General features: G+C 37.0%; 2 long non-coding RNA genes across 4 annotated transcripts in view; one reads left to right on the forward strand and one right to left on the reverse strand.

The window, feature by feature from the left end:
* The window catches only part of LOC105378066 (uncharacterized), a 122515-nt gene that overhangs the window by 55335 nt on the left and 46314 nt on the right, over positions 1–20866 (reverse strand). The window lies entirely within an intron of this gene.
* On the forward strand, positions 998–9373 carry LOC107986661 (uncharacterized). Its single transcript, XR_001744421.1, has 3 exons — positions 998–1768; positions 3235–3318; positions 7052–9373. It is a non-coding gene; the product is annotated as an uncharacterized LOC107986661 (long non-coding RNA).

Below are 20866 nucleotides of genomic sequence, written 5' to 3' on the forward strand. Positions count from 1 at the left end.
GATTGGGCTTCTTCAAATATTAACTGACATTTGCAGCCAAACACCACACCATTTATCCAGAAGTATTATTAAAATAAACCATTTCACAAACAAAATAAGGACATTTTTTATTATCACTATTTTAACCCTGTGTTATTCTCCTATCCATCTGCACCTCACTTTAATTCATGAACAAAAAGAATCTTTGGTATCAAGGATAATATTAAAATTAGAAAGAAAGCCACTTGGTCTTTGTCCTTATGTTGTTTACAGAATGCTCCACGTTGGGGTACTATTTTGAAAACCTGGCATTTTTTGATTACATGTAATCTGACTTGTTGAGGATCTAGAGTGCAGAAATATTGTATGCATGTAAATGGTGAAAGGAAGAGGTTTTTGTCTCCTTGGCAATTCATCCCCATTATCAGTCTACCTAAAAATTGTCTCCCGCCATTACATAGAAGCACTTTGTACTTTGTAAAATAAACTATTGCAGATGTTATTAAAATAAACTGTTATGCAGACCATATGAGGATATTATTTGCTGCATTATCAAGTTCTCAACTTGGAATTAGTGACTGAAATCATCAAAGTTGTTTATTGCATCTCTTTCTGGCATTGCTATTATTATTATTTGCATTTATTGGTCATTTATATAAATATTATGAAAACAATATTGTTTATTTGAAAAACAAAGTATTTATTCTTCATTTATTTGGTAAATATTTATAAACAGAGGATATGTGAAAAGAACATCCCACAAGTTAAATGCTTTTTAAAAGAGAAAACATTTTCTACTTCAGATTTGCTGGAGAAAATGAAATACTGTGTTTTAAACTCATCAGTATTTTTGAGCATAGAAATCGCTCTATAAATCTCTCTTTGAAAAAGGAAAATATAAAATCAGAAATGTTAGTCAGCTTTAAAGCAAATAAACAGATTTAATTAAGAGGAAATTTTGAAACAAATCTCACAAACTTAAAATATCTTTGTTTATTCAGATGTGTTGCACATAACTTCTGTTAACAAAACAAACAGATTAAATGTCCATATTGCTAGGCAAAGTATGTCTGTTAAATAAAGGTGTTGAAGTAATCTGTTAAATGTTAAATTTAACTCTGAAAGATTAAATAGTAGGTTGCTTAGGTCAGAAATTCAATAAAAAATTCTCTAAGCATTCTCTTGCTATCAAATTGCTTTATTTATGTCATGGAGGTTTAATCTTTAGAGCTATGACATTTCCAAAAAATATATACTTTGCTTTGTTTGAGAAAAAATTGCATTGTGCCATAACATGATTTTCATAAAAGTTTAAACAATGTCTTGAAAAAGTAAAGCTAAAAGTTTATTAAGCCCAAATATAACCATGTATTTTATTTATACTTTGACAGATGCCTACAGAATTCAAAGTCTAAATAGGTAATAGGTACAGCAGGACTTTGAATAAGATTGTTTCATCCAGGGTTTTTTCACTAGAATGTGAATTAGATTAAAAAAACAAACAAAAAAAACCCATCACTTTCCAGCCAGGGCCTCTGTCTGTGTGGGGTCTGCATGCTTTCCCCAGGCCTGCCTGGGTTTGCTCCAGGTCCTCTGATTTCCTCCCACATCCAGATGTGCCTGTTAGGTTCATCAGCACATCTACACAGTCCCAGTGTGAGTGAGAGTGGTGTGGGTGTGAGTGCGCCCTGTGATGGGATGGCATCCTGTCCGGGGCATTTTCCTGCCTGGCATCCTGAGCTGCAGGGATAGGCTCTGGCCACCTGCAACCCTGAACTGGAATAATTGGGTAAATCATGATCTTACTTGTTTTTATTAATCATTCTTAAATGTATGTATAGTTCACATTTGTTTCAATGTCAGAAGTGTTTTGGGTCTTTATTTAGAAGTTTGGTGATGTTTTTGCAACCAGAAATATGCCATAGGAATTTCACTTTTGTTTGGATCAAATAGCCTGTGGTCAAATTGGTTTCCTTATAGTTATTTTGCTTAAAGGAACAGTTTCCAAGAACCTGTAGACAACATTCAGTGAGGACATACTGTAGTTGGTACAGTGTATCAGATGCTTCCAAGGGAAACCATGGTTGGACATACAGATTTTGGAGTTATCTGAACTGAGTAAATAAGTGACTGAATTTGTCAAGTCAAAAAGTGTAGCAGAGAAGAGTCCATGGCCAAGGAGGAAATTTTATTGCTATTTCTTCCTTCCCAGATAGTATATGGTTGCATCATATTATAAATTTAAACATATTCAATTAATAAGTAGTTTCTTTAAGACGAATTTGGAGCTACTGAAAACCAGTTTGGAGTATATAGATTCTATAGTCATACAACCGTGCTACAAATACTTTAAACTGAAAGTATAGTCACAATGATACAAAGACACACAGAAAGGTTGCAAGCCTATTAAGAGTCAGATGAGAGTCTGAAGTTGTGAAAGTACGTAAATGATATGTGTATTTAGGTTAACAGCAAAGGGGTGGATTTTGATTATGAAGGCGAGGTTATCCTGAAACCTCTCATCCTGCAGGGAGGGCTCCAGGAGAGTGAAAGTGCCCAAGTCCTTTTAAGGCCTAGGCTTGAAACTGGCATACTGCCACTTCCACAGCAATTGATTGGCCAAAGCAAGTCTGATTCAAGAGGTCGGGAAACAGATTCTAGCTGTTGATTGGAGGAGCTGCAAAGTCACATTTCAAAGAATGTTTATATAAACAGGGATGAAAATTTTGGCCAATTTCACATACATCTACAACATGAAGATCCTATTAAAGAAAAAAAAAACAGATGAAAAACACATTGATTAGTGTCTCCCAAATTTTAATATGAAAAAGAACTATTTTGGATATTTATTAAAATTCAAATCCCTGGGCCATATCCCATAATATGATAGTAGGTCTAGTTTTCTAGAATCTTAAACAAAGCTATTCATCTCCCTAGTGATTTTGATAGAGATGGTCTAATGACTCTCCAGTGATGGAGAGAAAGAAATTTTATACTGGAGTAATGAAGAGTGAATTATTACAGGAAAAAAATAGTTAAGCAGGTGAAAACTGTTCAAAGGTTATCCCCTTCATTCGTTACTACAGATTGAGTATTCCTTATCTGAAATGCTTAACACCAGAAATGTTTTTGGACTCCAGATGTTTTTGGATTTGGGCATACAAAAATACTTGTGAAGCCATCCTACCATCAAGATAATTGAAGTATTGTCACCTAAAGAGTTCCTTCTCACACTTTTCTAACTGCTTCCCCCAGCTCTTCTTGGATCCACTGATCTACTTTCTATCACTACAGATGAGTCGGCTTTTTCTAGAAGTTTACATATGTATGTAATCAATGGTATGTATTCTTTACTCTCTGGCTTCTTTAATGTATGATTATTTTGAGGCTTATGCATGTTTTTGTATGTATCAATAGTTCATTCCTCTTTATTACTGTGTAGTATCTCATTGTGTGGATATACCACAATTGATGTATCCATTCACCTTTTGATGGATATTTGTTTTATTTAAAGTTTTTGGCTTCTATATATATTCACATACAGGTTTTTGTGTAAAGAAGTTCTCATTTACCTTGGTTTAACACCTAAGAGTAAGATTGCTGGGCCATCTGGTCATATGGTATGCTTACCTTTCTAAGAAACCACCAAACTGTTTTCCAAAGTGGTTGCACCATTCTACATTTTCATCATCTGGGTATGAGAGTCCCAAGTGCTGCACATCCTTGTCAACATTTGGTATGGTCAGTCTTTTTAATTTCATGCATTCTGCTCAGTGTATCTTCTCATTGTGGCTTTAGTATACATTTCGCTGATAATTAATGATGATGAACACTTTTTAAGGTCCAGAATTTCCAGATATATATTTTATTTGGTTAAGCACTTATTCAGATCTTTTGCCCATTTTTTAAAATTAGGTATGCTTTTAAATTTTGTTTCATTTTTTAGATTTTTAAGTATTCTTTATATATTCTAGATATAAGGTTTTTTTTCAGATATGTGGGTTTTTTTTGTTTGTTTGAGACAGAGTCTTGCTCTGTCACCCAGGATGGAGTGCAGTGGTGTGATTTTGGCTCTTTCTGTTATTGCAAAATAACAAATATTAATTTTGATGAAGTCCAATTTATCATCTCTTAAAATTTTATGGCTCATGATTTTGATATCATATCTCAGAAATATTTGCTTAATCTGAGAACATGAAGTTTCTATCTTTGCTTCCAAAAGTTTTATATTTTCAAGTAGTATATTTTAAGTCTATGTTTCATTTTAAGTTAATATTTGTATATGGTGTGAGGTGTGTATCAAAGTTTTTGTCATTGCATTGTTTTGTTTTGTTTTGTGTTATGGTTTGAGTGTGTCCCTCAAATTTCATGTTTTAGAAACATAATCCCCAAATTTCTGTGTTGATTGGGGGTGAGGCCATTGGGAGGTAATTAGGATTGCATAAGGTCATGAAGGTGGGGCCTCCATGATGGGACTGGTGGCTTTACAAAAAGAGGGAGACCTGAGCTGATACACACTCTCGCTCTCATGCCTTATGTGATGCCCTCTGCCATGTTATCATGCACTAAGAAGGCCCTCACCAGTTGCCAGTGCCATACTTTTGAACCTTGCAGATTCCATAAATGTAAAAAATAATATTTTGAAATAGATACTCACTATGGTATTTTGTTGGAGCAACAGAATACAAAGTAAGACATTTTACTTGTTTTTTTTATTTTCTTTTGGCATAATTTTATTCACTCGTTTAGTACTATTTGTTGAAAGATTATCCTTTATCCACTAAATTGCCTCTGTACCGTTGTTGAAAATCACTCGGCATATGTGAAAACCTGTTTTTGAGTTCTGTACCATTAACTGATTTGTGTATCTTTATGCCTCACTATTTTGATTAATATAGTTTCTAGTTTGCTGAGAGTTTAAATTGGAAATGACTATGAGATTTCATCCAGTCCTTTTTATGAATATTTGCAGGGTATATACATTTTTTTAAATTTAAACTCTTGTTATGGTGCAATGCATTAATTGATTTTCAAATTTTGAACCATTGTACTCTGGAGAAAAGAATGCAAATGATATTCTTCCGTTAGCAAAGAATTACTTTAGTGAAATATGGTTAATTGTGTTCATATAACTGAAGCTCAGCAGGGTGTGTGCCTACCTTATACTATTTAAAATAAATTTGAGGGCATTTTGAATACTTTTGACTTTGCTTTATTATTTATAGCAACTAAGTACTAAAAATGCAGATCAACATGGTTAACAAGTTTGCTACCTGAAACAACAATTTCGAATAGATGTATATGTATTCTATTCAATCTAGTTAAAACTATTGTTGTTTTATACCCTACAGAGAATTTCGTTAATTATCCCTAAAATTTTTGTAACACAGATTCAATTTAGGCAATATGTTTCATAGTTCTGCTGTTCTGCTAAAGACAAATACAGAAATTATAATCAGAAGGCTTAATCAGCTGTGGCAAAGTACAAATGAGGCAAAACCATAGTACGTTTATTTCATTATCTAAATTTGCAAACTTTGCCTCAACGTTTAAAGAAAAACAACCCAATTAAATCAGATGAAGGATAAACAGACTTCTCAGCAGAGATACTTCAACTGAGCTAGTATAATATGCTGCCCATTATAAAGTAGTCTCTTACAGATATTGATTACATTATTCTTTTCTACTGTTGTAACTGAGTTAGAAAAATATAATTCAGCATCTTATACTCTCTGTAAAGAAATATTTTTTCATTCCATTTGTGTCCTCCAGATAATGCAATAGTATGTCTATTATAAGAGTATTTTATTATTTTTGTTATTTCTTTTTTAAAAAGACCTCATCAATTAATAGTTAATCATAATTGATTTATACATCTGAGAAAACAGAATAGTTTAATTGGAATGTTGGCATATGGCACAACAAAGTTTTACTATCATTTATGTAGCCATTATAAAGTGATTTTTGGATTGTTAGACTTACAAATTTAAAAAATGCAATCAATGAGTGTGAGAATGGTAAAATAAGGGTTTCATTAAAAAATTAATGTAAGTTATTTTAATGAATTATCCTTTTCTTGAGAAAGATTTTCATAAACCTTATTAAGTAGTTGAATCAGGAAATATGATTACTGAGCAGCTGCAATTCAGAAAATTAGGTGAGTGCTCAGGTTCTTGAACCAGTGTGTGATGGGTTAGGGCAGATGAATTGAAAACTTCTCAGAATCAGGGTCCTGACTCAGGAGAAGGGGAAAGCAGGAAGCAGAAAGAAGGGGCAGGCCCTGAGCATCCTATACCCTTGGCTGAGACATGTTTTCATCTCATTCCTTCCAGGCCTGCTAAACTGTTAACCTACCACCCAACAGAGCTCTTTTGTAGACTAGTAATTCTATCTAAGCTCTCACTGGTAATTAAATGCAGAATTAGAATAGAGAAGAAAAAGTCAATATTTACAAAGAATAGCAGTGATATGCTAATTAATATTGGGTCATATCTGAGGATATTTATGGGAATGAGTTTTGAGGTGGCTCAACTAAGGAAATGTGAACATATTTTAGATGAGAATAAGTGCTTCCATAAGTGTTTTAATCATAGAGGCTACATTCAATGTGTTAGTTCTAATGAGCATGAATTATAACAATGGTCTAGGTTGTTGTGCAAACTTAAACCTATTATTGAACCATGTGAAAGCAGATTATCCATCAGAAATCTACTGGTATGATATAGAAGCAGGAATTCAAAGGCTTCAGGGCATGGAAAGACAGAACAGGTCTCATTTTGAGTATGGCATGCATCTCCTAATTATGACCATTGAGAGGATTCCAAAGAACTTCCTCTTAACAAAAATTTAAGAAATCATTTATTTGTTAAAAGAAATACATCCTCTTTCCAATGGAAATGCAGACGGGAGACAAATTACTTAAAGAAAGCTCTCTGGTCTCCAAAAGAACAGGATCCTTCTGAGCATTCTACTAAATGCCCTGTGAATTGTAAGGTGTTTCCTCTGGCTGGTGGGAATGGGAACTAATCTGTATACTGTTGGCTCAAATCTTTTTGTCTGTTTCCTTCCCCAGCCTCAGGTAGCTTCCTCGTATACCTGTGCTGAACAGTGCTGTCCTGAACACTCGTGAGGGCTCTTCTGCAGGTCTAGGGAGCTGTTTCTCCATGCAGCTCTCTCCTCTCCTATCCGCTGCCCTGGGAACTCTAGTCTGGTCTCCACGGACTCTCCACAAAAATCTCCATCCCTTCCACTTGTGCTCTCCGTTCCTGCCCTGTGGTCTGGAAACTCTCAAAGCAATAAACGAGAGCACTCAAAGGACACACCTCATTTGCTTCTCATTTCTAAGAGCTCACATTCCTTCATTGCCTGATGTGCAGTGTCTTGAAACCTGTTTCATATATTTTATCAAGTTTTTTTTTAGTTGTTTTTCAGGTGGGAGAGTAAATTGGTCCCTATCACTCTATCTCAGAAGCCGAAGTCTCCATAGTTTACTTAAAAGTGTGTAAACTTCCAAGTATATGGAATTGTCCAGATACCTTTCTATTATTGGTTCCTAGTTTAATTACCTTTTGGTCTCTGAACACCTTCTGTGGTTTCCTTTATTTTAAATTGCTAAGGTTTAAAAGTTTGTTTTGTGGCCCACTTTATGGAATATTGTCTATCTTGGTGAACTTTCCATGTACATTGCAAAGAATGTATATTCTGCTGTTGTTGGCTGGACTGTTCTGTAAATCTCAGCGTATTAGTCAGGGTTATCCAGAGAAACAGAACCAATAGGAGATATTTATATACATAGTTGGATCACATAACTGTGGGGCTGACATGTCTGAAATTCACAGGGCAGGCTGCAGGCTGGAAGTTCTGGCAAGAGCTGATATTGTAGTTTGGGAGGCACAATTCCTACCAGTTCCAGGGGCTTTCAACTAATTGGATAGGGCCCATCTACATTACGGAAGATAATTTGCTTTACCCAAAGTCTACTGGCTTAAATGTTAATCAATCTAAGATCTACCTTCATAGCAATATCTACACTGGTATTTGACCAACATCTGGGTGTCATCACCTAGCCGAATAGACACATAAAATTAACCATCACTGTTAGCGGTGGAAGACATCCAAGTTATCCAAAGTTACCTGTGGTGCATCTGTGTGAGTTGGCAGCAACTCCAGTCCTTGCCTCCTCAGAAGAAAGAATTTGACTGAGGGGCATAAAGCAGAAGAAGAGACTGCCGCAAGTTTCAGGGCAGGAATGAAAATTTATTAAAAGGCTTTAGAACAGTAAGGAAAGAAAAGAAGGAAAGTACAACTTGAAAGTACAAGAGGTCAAGCTGTGCACTTGGTTTCTCAAGGGCCAGGCAGGCAACTTGAGAAGTCAAGTGCATAGCCTGACCTCTTGACTTGGGGTTCTATAGGTTGGCATAACTCCGGGATCTTATTGGGAAGCTGCTGATCAGTTTCGAGTGTTTTCTACCTATTAGGAGACTGCCTTTCTGTGGTGCCAGCCATGACCAATTATTACTTTAGAGAAACGGTTAACAACCGCCTGACCATCACCTGATGGTTGCCCAACACTCCTGGTGTGTGTGTTGTGGGGAGCCCTCTCCTGCCTTGCTCCAGGCTACCTACTGTAACATCACAGTCAGGTCCAGTTGGCCTATGATGTTCATGACTGCTAAATGCTTGCTAATTTTGTCTTTTTGTCCTACCAATTACTGATAGAGAAGAGTCTCCAAATATAATTGTGCTTTGAATATTTCTTCTTCAGCTTTATTAATTTTACCTCATGTTTTTTGAACTTCTGTTTTAGGGACGTACACTGAGGACATTTATGGTTTTTGGTGAACTTACTCTTTCATCATTTTATAATGCTCCTCCCTCGTAATTTTCCTTATTCTGAAATTTACTTTGATCTTAAAATTACGGTAGCAGTTTTCTTATAATTTGTGTTTGTATCGTGTATCTTTTTACATCCTTTTATTTTTAACCTATTCAAATCATTGTATTTAAAGTGATTGTATTGGAGATAGCATATAATTGATTTTTGCCCCAATCTGATAATTCCTGTATTTTAATAGGAGTTATTTTTGATGTAGTTAGATTTATGCCTACCATTTTATTGTTGGTTTTATGTTTGTCTGCTCTGTTTTTTTGCTTTGTTTTGACTTTCTGTTGAATTATTGAATATATTCATTATGACATTATAATTTATATATTGTTTTTGCCTCCTTCTCTTCGTACTATTTTTAATGGTGTCTTTGTGATGATCATCCCCTTTCACAGTGGAATAAAAGCTAATATTTTACCACCTTTAAGAAAAATCATAGGACCTCCCAGTTGGGGTCTCCAGCTACCCCTGCTGGTATTCTCCCTGACGGAGGCTTCAAACCTCCCTGTGACAGAGTTTCCACAGGGAGGGGCAGACCACCACCGTCTTTGCCATTCCAGAAACCTACCCATTCTGGCCTTTGGGCTTTGGAGTGTTCGAGGTGACCTATGGGCCGAAGAGGACCCTCAGCACGGACAGTTGTTCTACAAAAACATGGCAAGACTGCTTTTTAAAATGGGTCCCTGCTTTTTAAAATAGGTCCCATTCCTCCTCACTGGGTGGGACCTCCCAACCAGAGTCTCTAGGCACCTCCTACAGGTGCATTCAGGCTGGCAACAGGTCTGTACTTCCCTGGGACAGAGCTTCCAGAGGGAGGGGCAGGCTGCCATCTTTGTTGTTTCACAGCCTTCACCATTGATACTTCCAGGTACTGGAAAACTTGAGGTGATTAGGGACTGGAGTGGGGCCCCAGCATACCACAGCAGGCCTGCAGAAAAGTGAACCAACTGTTAAATGGATGCCTGTTCCCCTATCTCCTTACTGGGCAGGTTCTCCCGCCCTGGGCCTGTAGTCACCGCCCTCCCAGAGCTATTGAGCTAGTAGCAGCTCGGCAACTCTCTAGACAGAGCCCCCAGGGTCAGCTGAAAGCTTGTCTATCACTGCCTCTGTAGTGGCATTGCCCTTGCCACCCTCGGACTAATGAAGAAGCAAAGACCCTAAGGGTCTTATCCACATTGCCAACAAGCGGCAATTTACCCAAGGAGAGGAGGCCAGTCCATCTCCCATGGGACTCCCACATACCTCACTGCTTGTTATTAGACAGGAAGCCCTTGGTTTGGGCCCATAGCAAAGGCCCTCCATTCTGGGGTGATTGCACTGAGCAATTGTGGACCTGCGTCTCTCTGGGGTGGAGCCCCCAGAAGGCAGACAAAAGACCCTTGGCCACAACTACTAATAGGGTACCTTCCTCTATGCCTGCCTCTGTTCCTTGGGGAAGAAATATAAACACTGAGATTGCCCCAGAGCTGCAGTGGGCAGCCCTGAAGTGCCAAGCCATGATCTAAAGCCAGCACTCAAGGGGGAGAGGAACCCACATTTTCGGAACATTGAGAGGGAACACGGCTGCAACTGTGAGGAAACAGGGGAGCCACACAATTAAGCAAGAGTCTAACAACCAACCAACACACCTAAGTATCACCAGTGGATCACACCCTAAAGCTCAACACCAAAAATACCTGGCTAAGATGGCCCCTCTGAAACCAAAGACAAAAAACTCCAAATAAAGACCCTGCACAAAGCCTGGGCCCTGTAAAAAATATCAAGAAATGAAGTCTATTGACTGTAATCAATCTACATAGCAGTTAAAGGAATACCCACATGCAGAAATGAGAAAGAACCAACACAAAAACTCCAGCAACTCAAATGGCCAGAGTGCCACATGTCTGCCAAACAACTGCACTAGTTCTCCAAGTGTTCTTAACCAGCCTGACTGGGCTGAAATGAAAGAAATAGAATTCAGAATTTGGATAGGAAAGATCATCGAGATTCAGGAGAATAACAAAACCCAATGCAAGGAAACTACAATCACAGTAATACAATACAGGAGCTGAAGGATGAAATAGCCGGTATCAAAAAGAACCCAACAGATCTGACAGAGCTAAATAACACAAGAGTTTTACAATGCAATAACAAGCATTAACAGCAGAATAAACCAAGCTGAGGAAAGAATCTCGGAACTTGAAGACTGGTTCTCTGAAATAAGGCAGTCAGAAAAAAAAGAAAAAAGAATAAAAAGGAATGAACAAAATCTCCAAGAAGTATGGGATTATGAAAAGAGGCCAAATCTTTCCATTATTGATATCCCTGCAAGGGATGGGAAGAAAGCAAAGAATTTGGAAAACATATTTCAGGATATTCTGTGAAAACTTTCCCAACCTTTCTAGAGAGGCCCACAGTCAAATTCAGGGAGTACAGAGAGCCCCTGCAAATTATCCCCAAGACAAATAATCATCAGATTTTCCAAGGTCAAAATGAAAGAAAGAATGTTAAAGGCAGCCAGAGAGAAAGGGTACATCACCTACAAAGGGAACCCAATCAGGCTAACAGAGGACCTCTCATCTGAATCCCTACAAGCCAGAAGATATTAGGGGCCTATATTCAACATTCCTAAAGAAAAATATCTTCAACCAAAAATTTCATATCTAGTGGGCCAGGCATGGTGGCTCACACCTGTAATCCCAGCACTTGGGAATTGTGGTGGACCACTTGAGATCAGGAGTTTGAGACCAGCCTGGCCAACATAGTGAAACCTTGTCACTACTAAAACTACAAAAAATAGCCAGGCATGGTGGTGGGTGCCTGTAATCCCAACAACTCGGGAGGCTGAGGCAGGAGAATCCCTTGAACCCAGGAGACAGAGGTTGAAGTGAGCTGAGATCATGCCACTGCACTCCAGGCTGGGTTACAGAGGGACACTCCATCTCAAAAAAAAAAAAAAAAAAAAAAAAAAAATCATATCCAGCCAAACTAAGCTTTCTAAATGAAGGAGAAATAAGACTCATTTCAGATAAGCATTTGTTGAAGGAGTTTATTACCACCAGACCTACCTTACAAGAGATCTTGAAAGGAGCACTAAATATAGAAAGGGAAGACTGCTACCAGCTAATACAAAAACACACTTAAACACACAGTGCCACTGTAAAGCAACCACACGAACAAGCTAATATAATAACCAGCTAACAACAAAATGACAGGATCAAATCTGCACATATCAATACTAACCTTGAATATAAATGGCGTAAATGTCCCACTTAAAAGTCACAGAGTAGCAAGCTGGATAAAAAAAACAAGACCCAGGCCAGGTGGTGGCTCATGCCTATAATCCCGGCACTTTGAGAGGCCTAGGTGGGTGGATCACCTGAGGTCAGGAGTTCGAGACCAGCCTGGCCAAAAAGGCAAAACCCCATCTCTACTAAAAACACAAAAATTAGCTGGGTGTGGTGGCAGACGCCTGTAATCCCAACTACTTGGGAGGCTGACACAAGAGAATTGCTTGAACTGGGGAGGGAGAGGTTGCAGTGAGCTGAGATTGCACCACTGCACTCCAGCCTGGGCAACAGAGTGAGACTCTGTCTCGAAAAAGAAGAAAAAGAAAAGAAAAGAAAAGAATTATCTAGAAGCATCAATTGTAAGAAAAGACTAGAGGTGAGTGGAGCAACAAGACTCCTGTAATAGTGAAAATGGAAATTATGACAATTAAAGAGTAGTTGCAGCATCACTGCCAACAGGAGGGAAAGACCCACTTGATAATTTAGGAGGGATTTAGAAGGAATCAAAGACACCTGCAAAATAGTGAATCTGGGTGACTTACAGAATAAAGAAGCCATTAATCGCTTTGAAAGATGAGGGAGACATGAGAGGTTCACTTTGAATATATTGCTTGACAGCTGGCAGGTTATGTCACTCCATGTGTTCCACAGATATTAGACAAAGCATACCTTATCTGGAGACAAGGTTTGACTGGATAAATAGGAAGGGTCCATCTGTGTAATAGAACTATTTTAGAATGTAGGAATAGATAAAGTATCAAAGGAATATATGGAGATTAAAAAAATGGCTCCTGGAATCAGTAATGTGCTGGTTTTCAGGAGTTAAAAAATTATTGACTCGGGTATATCCTAGTGAACTGACAAAGATACATTGTTTTAAATATATAAAAACTATTAAGAAACTATATTCTTAATGCCAAAAGCAGTAATGCAGATACTAATTAGCATTGTATTTAGGAAAACCACTCATGCATTTGAGACTAAAATTCTAATCTGTTACATCAACATACATGACTTTCTAAAGCTCTCCTGGTTTTTTTTCTCCCCAGGAGAATCTTTCTGCCTAGGCATATTCAATCCTCAGTTGTATCCAAGATTCCTGTGTCAGAAAAAAACAACAGCTCACCATCTTCAGCTCACTTAGGAAGGGTCTGCCCTTCTCAGCTATGTTATTTTATCTAGTTATTGATTCCAAAATTTCCTGATTTCTTAAATATATGTTTTTTATATATAATGGTAATGGTATTGGTTTTGAGGCACATTGTGACCTTTCAGATAAGGGAAACACACAGCCAGCTGCATAATCACCCCAGGACTTGACTGGGAGCCCTTTTCAGAGAACAGCATACGAAGAAAGTCACTGAACTGGACAAAACAATCTCATTGAGCCAATGAAGGAAAGATCAGAATTCCTGGCTGCTTACTTGTTTGGAATTTTCCAGAAACAAGGCCCTATAGAGACATGGCATCCAGAAGGCTGCATATGGATCCCTCATGATTCATCTGCCGCAGGTTCTGAGACTGCACATGTGCAGTGTGTGACTCTGTGAGGCCTACAGTAGACTGCTGTGGAGATGAAAGTTCTGCAGAGGCAGCAGAGGTCTTCAGAGCCAGGGAACAAGGAGGTTCTGGCTTACCCCAAGCGAAGAGACCTCCTTGATTCCCTTGGACATGCCACTAAGATTGCAGAATACTCCCATATTAGGGTCAAGACCATGACCTAGAGTAAAAGACAGACCTTAGGACAAAAGACTAAACTTAAGTAAACTAGAACTAAAAGAAGTAACTCCAAACCTGACAGAATCGAGTAGATCAATACATAATTTAAATTCCAGGAAAAAAATTAACAAATCTTTACAAAGAAGTAAACATCATCCAGAACTGATACAACATATCATTCACAGTATCTAGAAAGTAATCATACAACTGCCAGACTTGTGAGAAAGAGTGAAAATATGACTCATCATCAAGAAATATAGTAGTCAACAGCAGCCACAAGATAACCCACATAGTAAAATTGTCAGTGACAGAATTTACATATATATGTAAATTCTCTCTATATATTCTCTCTCTATATAAATTCTATATGTATATATTCTATATATGTAAATTCTCTCTATATTCTCTATATGTAAATATATACATATTATATATGTATATGTATAATATCTGAAATGAAAAGTTCATAAGGGACTTAAGCAGAATTTGAAGGCTGCTAAATAAAGAGTGAATTATTTCTATGATAGGTAAACATAAATCATTCAATCTGAAGAAAAACGTTGAAAAAACACACATTTCTACATTAGCTTTTGGAAAAGTGTCAAGCATTCCATACACAAGTAATTGGAGTCCTTACAGGAGAGTAGAGAAAAAGTACTGAAGAAACAATATTAGAAGAAATATGGATGAAAATATTCTAATTTGGTTAAAAAAACCCATCAACATGCAGACGCAAGGGCTCAGCAAAACTCAAGCATGTTAAATACAAAGCAAGCCATGCCTACATCCAAATCAAACTGCTGAAAATCAAACAACAAGAGCAAATCTTAAAAACAGACAGAATAAGACACTTCACACAGGACAATACTGATAATAATTTCCCTGGTGTGGCTTTGGAAATAAAGACCTCCAGAAGGAGTGAAGTAATATGTTTAAAGTGTTAGAAGGAAAGAAAATGTAAATCCCATATTCTACATCCAGCAGAAGAATCCTTTAAAAATCATGAAGAAACAAAAGTAGAGAGTTTTCATTCCCAATTTACCTGCACTATAGAGAATGTTAATAGGAGCTCTTCTTGAGGTGAAATGACACCAGATAGCAACTCAGGTACACAGGAAGGAATAAGAAACAGCATATAAAATAAGTACATGGATAAATGTGAAAGACAGCTTTTTCTTTTTAATTTCTTTAATTGCCAACTAACTGTAAAAAGATAATTATGTAATTTTGTTGTGGAATTTATAATACTTCTAGATGTAAAACATATGACAATAACATAAAGGGCAGGATACATGTGAAAGAAATTTTGCTATTACATACTTATCATATAATATTAATTCCAAGTAGTTTACAAGAAGTGATAATGAATTGTTTAACCCTTAGGGTGAGAATTAGAGAATAGTTCAAAGATCAGAAGCAATTAGGAAATAAATTGAAACATTAAAATATATTCAATTAGCCAAAGGGACTACAGAAAACAGATGAGATATGCAGGAAACAAACAGCAAGGTAGTAGATTTAAACCCAACTATACATAATTTATTACATCAAATGCAAACCTACTAAAAATTACATATGAAAGGAGATTGGCTGGATAAATATCAAAACTCAGTTATATACAATCTAACAGAAGAACACACTAAATGTAAAGACATGTTGCAAGTAAAGGGATAAATATGAATATATACACGTTAAACTCATAGTTATAATGTGCATTCTAATATCAGACAAAGTAGTCTATAAGACAAGGAATAATACCATAGATAAAATGAGAAAATAAGGCCGGGTGCAGTGGCTCACACCTGTAATCACAGCACTTTGGGAGCCCAAAGCGGGTCACTTGAGCCTGGGAGTTTAAGATCAACCTGGGCAACATGGTGAGACACCGTGTCTACAAGAAATAAAAATTAGCTGGGCATTGTGGCACATGCCTATGGGCCCAGCTACTCCAAAGGCTGAGGTGGGAGGATGGCTTGACCCCAGAAGGTCGAGACTGCAGTGAGCCATGATCGTGCCACTGCTCTCCAGCCTGGATGACAGAGGGAGACCCCATCTCAAAAAAATAAATAAATAAATAAGGGAAAATACGATGTTTTATAAGGATAAAAGGGTCAATTCATCAGGATATCATAAGAATTTTTAGTGTGTATGAAGACAGTTCTTCAGAATGTAAACTGAAACAAAAATAAAAATTTAAAAAAAGAATAAAAGGGAGAAATATACAAAATGAAATCTCTCCTGGATATTTTAAATTTCTATATGTATAATTGCTGGAACACATATATGAAATAAATCACAGAAATACAAAAGATTTGAGCAATGCTACTAATCAAATTGATCTAACTTTCAAATATAAAATATGATTCAAAATGACTGAAGTATACATATTCTCTTGCTGTACACATAAAAAAACACTGAAATAGATTGCATGGTGATCTATAAAATAAGTTTCAATACATTTTAAAATGAAATTGTATGCAAAATGTTCTTTGATCACAATTTACTTGTTAAAAATCAATAGCAATAAGGTGTGTAGAAAATCTACAAATATTTGATCAATTTAAACAACACACTTCTGAATGACACATGCCTAGTTTGCTCTCTGATATCTTCAAATTGTTTTTTTCTGCCAAATTTTATTTAGCTTTTATAGTTGTTTTCAGATAGAAGACTCATCTAATAGAAAATATTTTACCATATGAATATGTTCATTGGCTTGATTTAATCATTCTACATTGTATACATGTATCAAAACATCAGATGGTATCCCATATTATTATTATTATTATTATTATTATTATTTTAATTAATTTATTTTTTGAGACGGAATTTCGCTGTTGTTGCCCAGACTGGAGTGCAATGGTGCAATCTCAGCTCATTGCAACCTCTGCCTCCTGGGTTCAAGTGATTCTCCTGCTTCAGCCTCCCTAGTAGCTGGGATTACAGGCATGCGCCACCACACCTGGCTAATTTTTTGTATTTTAGTAGTGGCAGGGTTTCTCCATGTTGGTCAGGCTGGTCTCGAACTCTCGACCTCAGGTGATCTGCCAGCCTAGGGCTCCCAAAGTGCTGGGATTACAAGCATGAGCCATCGCACACAGCCTATTATTTTTAATTAGCAAACTGTGATTTGCTATTTAAAATAGATAAAATAAAACAAAACACTAATTGTCTACCCTAAACTAAACTACACATGTAGAACACTACTTTGTCTGCGATTTATCATAGACCTGCACTCATACTTCATAGATGGTAAATTATTCCTATTTATCTAAATCACTTGGAGTGGTGGCTTGGCCTTCACCAAAGGAAACAGAAGGCAGAGAAAGAACAAACTTGTAGGACGCAACGATTTTCACAAAAGTCACCACAAAAGGATAGTGATTTCTACTACAACCTGCCCTTAGTATGTCCCCATGCATTGATGCCCACCCTGGGAAAATGTGGATTCAGAATGTTTAGGTTATCACACTAGCTACAATCATCTAAGAGAGAGTTCATAGTACTCACGAAATTTCAAGTTCATAGACTTAATAAAATCTCTATTCTTTACAATCCAGTTCCATTCCCTTTGGATCTCATCCCTGACCCACTATTAAAATCTATTCCAAATCTCTCTCTAGAAATTTGTCCAAGGAGGAGAAAGAGATCTTTTGCTTCACTCCTAATTATAGATTATCTTTTGTAAATCGTCGATTTTCTATTATCATTAGCATAAGGAGGAGGCCTAATAGAGGCAATTGGCAATGTGGCTTTATGCAGTTCAGTCTCAGACCCTCTACGCTGACTCTTCAGTGCATGAAAGGCAAGCCCACTGCAGTCTCCCCACCTTATCTTATTTGCTTGTCCTAGTGTAGCCCTTGACTTGATGGGTGCAGCATACTTTATCTTTATTAACTAAATCTAATATCTTTCCCTTCTTCAGTATATAGAGTTTCCTTCTCATCAATACCACCAAAGAGGAACCATATTTTGTAAGTCTTTGCATCCCACACAGAGACCTAGCACATAGTAGATGGTCTTTCCTAAAATCACTTTTGAACATTTACTATACTGGGTTTTTGAACAGAAATTTTCACCAAAGCTCAGAATACCTGTATACATATAAAATAAAATGATTGATGCAAACACAAAAATACTCCATCATAAACAGAATCAGGAAGTCCAGCATATTTTCTAAAATCCTAAAATTGTAAAACCGTAGAATGATTTAGATGCTTAAACCATATAAAGAATGATGACTATATTTAATTGCATGTTTGTTTCTCCTATGTTTTCCTTTGTGAAATCACTAAGTTCTAAAAACTCTGTAGAAAAGTGATTTCAGCTTTATATTTACATTGGTAACTCAAGGTTAAAAATGCATTTCCACATTTGTAATATCTACAGAACCTATGACTATATATAGCTACTGCCTCCTCTAATAATAAATAAAACAGTCATATATTGAGTAGTATCTGTCAGATTGCAATTGTAAGACAGCCTCCTTGAAATTGACTTATTCTCATGGACATCTGATTAATTTATTTACTTCTATTTCTTCTGCAATACTATTCAATACTATCTTTAGTGTTTAATAATTCATTACCAGCTGCTCAGAAGCTATTGATTAAAAATTGGATTTGGAGGTTACCCCATGAAAAGCAAAGGTATGTTCAGATATCTTAATATGTAAAATAATATATGTTCATAAATTCTAGACTCTTTAAATTGGCTATTCTGTTTCTTGAAGCAAAAGTATACTGATATAATGTTAATTATGATTATTATAAGTATGACTAAATGTGAGAAAAAGATGAGCTAAATTGTTGTTATGTCTACACAACAGACCCAAGAGAATCAATTAATTAACATATTTCAAAATAAATTGGGGAAATTATTATAACTTGTAGAAGCATATTGCAAAGTTTTACACATTCACATGTAATGTTACTCACTACATGTGTATGTGTAATTATGAGGACAGAAATCATATGTTTTTTGTTAATCATTAAATACCCAGCCACCCTGGACAACAAAGCTGGAAAACACTTAGAAATATTTGTTGGATGAATGAATGAATGAATGAGCAGCAAAGCTTTAGAGTTGTTTGAATGCTCAGCCAGAGAAAGTCTGGACACTGAGACCCTGTACCTTTATGCTTGCAGAGGGGCCCACATTTCCCCAGAAAGTGATGGCACTTCAGCTGTGCTGAGAGACTGCAAAGCTCCCCAATCCTGCACCAGGCAACAGATGCCCCCATAAGAGCTGTTTCTACCCCTGCTTCTCACAGCCAGGCCAATAACAAGAGTTCAATCCCAACATAACTGAGGAAGGTTCTGAGCCTGATAAAAAGGGTGGAGATTATACATCTCAAGGGCTGCAAGATTATCCAGCATGTGCTGGCAGAAGCCAAACTCCTGTGATTGGAATTTGAGTGTGCCTGATCAGAGGTCAGACTATAAGACAGATAAGCAACAATACATTGACATAGAGATCCTGTTTTCAGAGCGCATGATTTAATATACTGGTAAGAAGCCCAGGAAATGAAGCAAACGCACTGTTAGAGTTACCTATACAAGTCTGGAATAAATGGCAGCCAACTCCCAGTGAAGTACAAATGCTTGAGTTGCCCCAACAGACAGTAGAGGATGAGTAAAGAGGCAGAGGGAAATGTGCATGCTGGAATGGATATATATATAGTACACAAGGCCAGAAGGTCCACCAGAGGTTTATGTTCTAAGGAAAGGTCCAAAAGACACACCATTCACCAAGGCCATAGGGAAGGCACTGGAAACAGGGGAATCAGGTGCATTAAATTCAGAGGGAGCTCACCTGTGCAAGCTGAAGATAAGACACATTAGGCAATCACAGAGCTGGGCTCATTAATATCCAGAGGCAGGTGAGGTCTCAAAGAAATAGAAGCCAGGTGGTGATGGTACTTACCTACTGGGAGCTAAGAGTTCTCATTACCACAGTGAATGGCAAGTTCTGGAGGTGCAGCCAAAGGGCTTGGCCCACAAAGAGCTGTGGTGGTTCATAGAGAATGGTGTTCCTTGGGGAAGAACAGATCAGCAGCTAACACGGAAGAACAGAGCAGCAAAAGGCTGAGGGTGGTCACTACATAAGCTCTGCTTCTAAGACCCCTAGACGCTGCATGAATGGGCTTCAGTACCTCTCTAACCTACTCTTCAATTTTATTCAAGCATTATATGTCAGCATACACTTAGAAGGGTTAAGGCATGAGGGCCCCTTATGAGGTTGTATCAAAGACATACCTAACCATAAAAATGAGCAGTGGTTAATGAATATTTCACTAACAAACCTAATACTGAAAATAATGCTAATGCTAATAAGCTAATACTGAAAAACTGGAATTTTTCTAATTTTGTCCCTTACACCAAAAAATAACACAAGGTTATGTTTGGCTATTAATATTGAGTAATGCTTTTCTGGAGGTGCTAGTCAAGAAATTGAAAATACAACTTAAAAGAGGAATAACTATGTTTTATAAATAAGAGACAAATGTAATACAGGTGACAGAAGAAGTATAATTATTATTTGAAGACGATGTAATTATCTATCTGAAATATTCAAGAGAATTAACTGGTAGAACAATGAGAAGGTTTAGTAAGTTAGCCAGATAATATACACTTGCTCTTTATAGACTTTATATTTTTAACATGGCTACTTTTCTAATTCAGATCACCTCAACTCAAATAAACACATTTGTTAGAATTATTATAAGTCTTTCACCTGTTATGACTTTCTAACTTGCTATTTAACTTTTTTTTTCTTTCTTTTTTTTTTTTTTTTTTGGCGATAGAGATTCGCTCTTATTGCCCAGGCTGGAGTGCAGTGGCGCAATCTCAGCTCACTACAACCTCTGCCTCCTGGGTTCAAGGGATTCTCCTGCCTCGGCCTCCCTAGCAGCTGGGAATACAGGCACCTGCCACCACGCCCAGCTAATTTTTTGTATTTTTAGTAGAGACGGGGTTTCACCATGTTGGCCAGGCTGATCTTGAACTTCTGACCT

Source organism: Homo sapiens, chromosome 6 (assembly GCF_000001405.40).
Source record: "Homo sapiens chromosome 6, GRCh38.p14 Primary Assembly".
Classification (NCBI taxonomy): Eukaryota; Metazoa; Chordata; class Mammalia; order Primates; family Hominidae; genus Homo; species Homo sapiens.